This window comes from Homo sapiens, chromosome 4, assembly GCF_000001405.40.
Source record: "Homo sapiens chromosome 4, GRCh38.p14 Primary Assembly".
NCBI classification, from domain to species: domain Eukaryota; kingdom Metazoa; phylum Chordata; class Mammalia; order Primates; family Hominidae; genus Homo; species Homo sapiens.
In genome coordinates, this window is record NC_000004.12 from 85,164,465 (window position 1) to 85,171,216 (window position 6,752).

At 38.9% G+C, this 6,752-nt stretch overlaps 1 annotated feature.

Moving 5' to 3' along the window:
- Nucleotides 2,192-2,692: an enhancer, noted in NCBI's record as "H3K27ac hESC enhancer chr4:86087809-86088309 (GRCh37/hg19 assembly coordinates)". NCBI's record gives its function as "activates a minimal SCP1, AML or CMV promoter by ChIP-STARR-seq in primed H9 embryonic stem cells {active_cell/tissue: H9 hESC(primed)}" and the evidence as "EXISTENCE:reporter gene assay evidence [ECO:0000049][PMID:30033119]".

Here is a 6,752-nt window from a genome sequence, read left to right on the forward strand (position 1 = left end):
TTGGTTTAAAGTCTGTTTTATCAGAGACTAGGACTGCAATCCCTGCTTTTTTGGGCTTTCCATTTGCTTGGTAAATCTTCCTCCATCCCTTTATTTTGAGCGTATGTATCTTTGCATATGAGATGGGTCTCCTGAATACAGCACATTGATGGGTCTTGACTCTTTATCCAATTTGCTAGTCTGTGTCTTTTAACTGAGGCATTTTGCCCATTTACATTTAAGGTTAATATTGTTATGTGTGAATTTGATCCTGTCATTATGATGCTAGCTGGTTATTTTGCTCGTTTGTTGATGCAGTTTCTTCATAACGTTGATAGTCTTTAAAATTTGGCATGTTTTTGCAGTGGCTGGTACTGGTTTTTCCTTTCCATATTTAGTGCTTCCTTTGGGAGCTCTTGTATGGCAGGCCTGGTGGTGACAAAATCTCTCAGCATTTGCTTGTCTGTAAATGATTTTATTTCCCTTCGCTTATGAAGCTTAGTTTGGCTGGATATGAAATTCTGGGTTGATAATTTTTTTCTTTAAGAATGTTGAATATTGGCCCCCTCTCTCTTCTGGCTGATAGGGTTTCTGCAGAGCGATCCACTGTTATTCTGATGGGCTTCCCTTTGTGGGTAACCCAACCTTTTTCTCTGGCTGCCCTTAACATTTTTTCCTTCTTTTCAACCTTGGTGAATCTGACAATTATGTGTCTTGGGGTTACTCTTCTTGAGGAATATCTTTGTGGTGTTCTCTGTATTTCCTGAGTTTGAGTGTTGGCCTGCCCTGCTAGGTTGGGGGAAGTTCTCCTGGATATTATCCTGAAGAGTATTTTCCAGCTTGGTTCCATTCTCCCCGTCACTTTCAGGTATATCAATCAAATGTAGATTTGGTCTTTTCTCTTAGTCCCATATTTCTTGAAGGCTTTGTTCATTTTTTTTTCACTCTTTTTTCTCTAAGCTTGTCTTCTTGCTCTATTTCATTACGTTGGTCTTCAATCACTGATAATCGTTTCTTCCACTTGATCAATTCAGCTATTGGAACTTGTGTATGCTTCACGAAGTTGTTGTGCTGCATTTTTCATCTCCATCAGGTCGTTTATATTCATTGCTACACTGGTTATTCCAGTTAGCAATTCATCTAACCTTTTTTCAAGGTTTTTAGCTTTCTTGCATTGGATTAGAACATGCTCCTTTAGCTCAGAGGAGTTTGTTATTACTCAGCTTCTGAAGCCTACTTCTGTCAATTCGTCTAACTCAGTCTCCATCCAGTTTTTTTCCCTTGCTGGCAAGGAGTTGTGATCCTTTGGAGAGAAGAGGCATTGTGGTTTTTGGAATTTTTAGTCTTTATTCACTGGTTTCTACCCATCTTTGTGGTTTTATCTACCTTTGGTCTTTGATGTTGGTGACCTACTGGTGGGGTTTTGATTTTTATGTCCGTTTTGTTGATGTTGATGGTATTCCTTTTTGTTTGTTAGTTTTCCTTCTAACAGTCAGGCCCCTCAGCTGCATGTCTGAAGGAGTTTGCTGGAGGTCCACTCCAGACCTGGTTTACCTGGGTATCACCAGCAGAGGCTGCACAACAGCAACTATTGCTGCCTGATCCTTCCTCTGGAAGCTTTGTCCCAGAGGGGCACCCACAGATGCCAGCCAGAGCTCTCCTGTATGAGGTGTCTATCAGCCCCCACTAGGAAGTGTCTCCCAGTCCAGCTACATGGGGGGTCAGGGACCCACTTGAGGAGGCAGTCTGTCTGTTATCGGAGCTCGAACGCTCTGCTGGGAGGATCACTGCTTTCTTCAGAGCTGTCAGGCAGGGACATTTAAGTGTGCTGAAGCTACTCCCACAGCTGCCCCTTACCCCGGGTGCTCTGTCCCAGAGAGATGGGAGTTTTTTTCTATAAGTCCCTGACTGGGGCTGCTGACTTTTCTTCAGAGATGCCCTGCTCACAGAGGTGGAATCTAGAGAAGCAGTTGGCCTTGCTAAGCTGTGGTGGGCCCTGCCCAGTTCAAATTTCCCAGTGGCTTTGTTTACACTGTGATCATAAAACTGCCTACTCAAGCCTCAGCAATGGCAGACACCCCTCCCCCACCAAGCTTGAGCGTCCCAGGTCAATCTCAGACTGCCACACAAGCAACGAGCATTTCAAGCCAATGGATCTTAGCTTGCTGGGTTCCGTGGGTGTGAGACCCACTGAGCCAAGCACCAGAGGGAATCTCCTGGTCTGCCAGTTGTGAAGACTGTGGGAAAAGTGCAGTATCTGGGCAGGAGTGTACTGTCCTCCTAGTATAGTCTCTCACAGCTTCCCTTGTCTAGGAAAGGGAAATCTCCTGACCCCTTGCACTTCCTGGGTGAGGCGATGCCCTGCCCTGCTTTGGCTCACCCGCCATGGGCTGCACCCACTGTCCAACCAGTCCCAATGAGATGAACCAGGTACCTCAGTTGGAGATGCAGAAATCACCCACCTTTTGTGTTGATCTTGCTGGGAGCTGTAGACCAGAGCTGTTCCTGTTTGGCCATCTTTGCCTCAGTACTTTTGATGAAATAAATTATAGTGGTCACTGTTGAATCGTTGCTTATTTCTTCCTCATCCTGTTTTCTTCTTCCTTTCTTTTTCTTTCCTTAGGTGTAAATACCATCTTGCATTGCATTTTATGATTGTCATTGTCATGTATGTTGGAGGCCACTGATTTTGGAGTCTAGCCAAGTAGACTATGGCTTTAGCTGTGCTTAGTACTTTGCATTTTGTGTTCATAGACATAATATCAGACTCCTCTAAGACATTTCAGATACTCTCACCTTAAATTGTCTTTGGGACATTTGGCCTCCCATTTCAGGCAGAGCCACTGCGGCATCAACCAACTCTCTTTGGGAAGCCAACAACCTTCACACACATGCAAATGTGTGGTGCTCACTGTGTCCTCCCTCACTTCCTGCCTCTAGGCTTCTTGTTGAAGACAAGGAGGTAATTCTGTGGTCTCAAGCAGGCACAATCCAAAGTATGTGAGAGGAGTGGGTAGTGGAAGAGGAAAAGACATGTGTGGTAAAACTTCAACCAACAGGAGATGGGAACCTGCAAAAATTTTTTTTCTTTCCTCCATGGATCGAGAAGTCATTTAGATAGCTTCTCAGATGACAGTCTTATGATCAATCAGTCATACTTAATACCATGTAGTCCTTTTTCTTCTCTGTTTCATTATTCTTTTCCCTGATTTGTATTCCATTACTATGCCTCATGGAATAAGGTAGTAGCCTTAATCATACATGGGAGGCCATATTAAAACAGAGATATTAATCTTGTTCCAGCTCTGTCCTTTTGGCTTTATCTTTCTACATTTTATCAATCATTGCTGTGTGTTTGGAGCAGAGGGTGGTATAGCTTACTTTTCCATCTTGACTAGAAGTCATTGATTCCATCTTTGCAACTGTTTTCTTGCTGAAAACATCAACATTACTTTTGTATTCACCAAGAAATCTTTAGCATCTGTTATATGTATATTTCATATTACTTGTAAAACAATACAAACTCTTATCAGAAAGCCTGATATAAAAGAGGAATATGATGAATATTAGTTTCTTTGCTGTACCTTTTTTAAAAATGTGATTCCTGAAGTCTCAGTACTTGAACAAAGTTTTCTATGCTTTGTGCTTATTTACATCACTATAGATAACTCATGTTGGATCCCTGCCCACCACCCCCAGCCCCATATCTGTTTTTCTTCCACGATTGTGAATGTGAGGGCAGGAATTGTGTCTTATTCATTTTTGCAAACAGGACAGTGCTAGGCCCAGTTGACTCTCAGTTAATGAATGTGGAATATATTTGACATTTGGTGTGTAGATAGATAAACAGGCTTAAATGTTTTAGATATTTAGAAGCAATTCTCTTGGTTTCTTCCCTGAATATAGAACACTCTGAGTCCATGGTTAGCAGTTCACTGTTGTGATGGCATGTGTGATTCCTGCTGTTAAATGTGGCTGTTCAAGCAAGTGTACTCACCTATGTGATAGTTTGTCTGGAAAAGGGAATACTCTATAAATAGCATACTTCCAGTAATTCAGGATGTAATTTAAAATAAGGACTCTATAATATCATGAGAAAAATGTCTCATTAGCAATAAAAGCTATTAATGTCACTCTTCCTAATGAAGGATTGCAACAGCATCCCTCATTAGACTAGAAAGGGCAAGAGTGATGCAATCAATGCTGCAGATTAAGAGTTGTTGAATGATCAGATGGATGTTGGGGGTGAGAAAAAAAGCTACAATCCAAAATGACTTCAAGGTTTAGAGTTTGGATAGTATGAGAAGATGATTATGTCATTTTATGAGACAGGGAAATAGGAGAAAGGAAGGATGTGTAAGGGAAGTAGATGAGCTTTGTTTTTACTGACTTTAGTATAAAGATTACTTATTCATTCTGGAAATAATTCATTCAATTTATATTGAACACCTATTATTACTAGACATTGTGGTAAGCTGTAAACACACAAATGGCATTCTCCATCAGACATTCTTTTAAAGAACTCATGTCATCAAATTTTCAGGCAACTCAAATGCAAGTGAAATAATGATTGTGTTAGACAAAATAATATAAATTAAAAATGTGTATTGAAAAAACAATAATAATACAAAATTAAATGGATGAAATGTAATAATAATAAATACGTGTAAAAAAAGCTTGATGTCTGTTGATGGTATGCCATGACTGCCTCTCCCCACAACACATCAAATATGTTCTTAAGCAATGGTAATACAAACATACAATGAAACAAGAGATGTAGAATATGTTTGTCAAATAAATGCATAAATAATAACCCATTGAAAACTTTTCATATCACATCTAGTGTATTGTGGTCAACTCCAGGTGCTACATTTTTAGCACTAGTCAACCACAGCCTCATTCTATGTTATGTGGAGAAGCATTAGAGGACTTAGTCATATGCAGGAGAAGAGTTGCTTTGAAGTATTTAGCCTCACTGCCCAATGGCAATGTCAAAACTGAGGCCGTTTTAGCAGAAATACTAGGGAGGAAGATTTGGCACAATACTAGATGTAATAGTTCGATAACCAAAGTTATCCTGTGTGAATGAGGGCTGTTCACACAAAGGCTGGATGAAGGGAAGTAGCAGAAAGAGCTCCTGTTAAAAGGCAGTGGACTTTATCACTTGTGTAAGTTTTGCAGCTATTAATATTCTAGTAGCCAATCATTACTTCATTCTAAATCTAAAGAAAAAAAAAGAAACAAAGGGTTCAATGTTTTTTACCAACTTAAAGACTGAGTAGGAGAAAGGAGATCCATAAAATGACTTGGTGCTTCAATGCTCTAGGTTTATTTTTAATCAGTTGTGCTGCAGGGTGACATTCTCACAGAAGAGGAAAATAAAGAATATATTAATTTACAAGGCTAGCTGGAGAAAAGGTTATTATGGTTGCATACAGATAAAAAGGTCACATTTAAAGAATCTTCTATCCTAGGATATTTAAAAAGTAGAATTCCTTTAATAAGAGTCTGTTAGGAGAGCATGATGGCATGTACAATTTAACTCTTTGTAGTTCAGCTGGATTTGAAAAGCTAAATGAATATTTGTGAGTGGATGTCACTGATTTTTGCAAATGTTCACAATCATTCATTCATTTATTCATCAAAGACCAGGAAATAAGGAATAAAAACAAAGTATTTTTTATGAAATAAATTGTAGTGGAAGAGACAGTAAGTAGACAGATGACTCAAATGCAATGTGATAAGTGATACATTTGAAGCAGTGGTAGCCCTAAGTAAGAATGATCTATTCTGCATGGGGTCTGAGGATTTATATGATTGCTCTTGAAGAATGAGATTCAGATGAAGCAGGGAGAGAAGGATATTTAAGTATAAGGGAGCAGTATGTGTAAATGGACAAAGATACAATATACTAAAATCTAAGTGTTATCAGAGTTCTGTATGTAATTCAATATAACAACACCATCACCCAACAGTTATTTCCTGTTTATTTATGATGTCCAAGGAACTTGTCTAAGCATGTTATATGTATTAACTAATCTAATCTTCAGAACAATCTGGAGCAGTCTGGCTGCAAAGTCTTTATCTTTACATACTTTCTTGAAGAGATTGCTCCATTAACATGCTAATTGACCTGATCTGATCACAGTACAATGTATGTATTGAAATATCCCTTTGGACCCCATAAATTTGTAAAATTATTATGTATCAATTAAAAAAATAATTTTTTTTAAAAAACAATGCTTGCAAGAATTAAAAAAAAAGGAATGACGTGAGAGTTTTGGTAGAATGGGAGATTAAATAGGTTTGAACCAAGCGAAAGTGGGACCCTGGGGCATACCTGAATGTTTACATGTTGTTGCTGGAAGGGAAAGTTGTTACAAATACTTTAGAAAGCAGTTTGCTATTACCTTGTAAAACTGAAGAGCTTAAACCTTCGTTTAGACACAGCTGTATTCCTGGATCTAATCCCCAGAGAAGGTCTTGCACGTGTGCTCCAGGAGACAAGTAGAAGGGCAACGTGTTTGTAATAGCACACACAAAAAGCAAACATCCAAATGTTCATCATGGCACATCAACAGTAACAGTGAAACAGGTAAAAACATTATACTATATGTGCATAATGGAACACTAAAACGGCAAAAATGAATGAGCTACAGTGACAATATAGATCTCAGGAAGATTATACTGAGCAAAAAAAGTAAATTGCAGAATACCTAAAGAACATATGTAAAGAATATGCTAAAATTAAACAACATATTGCTTAGAGATAC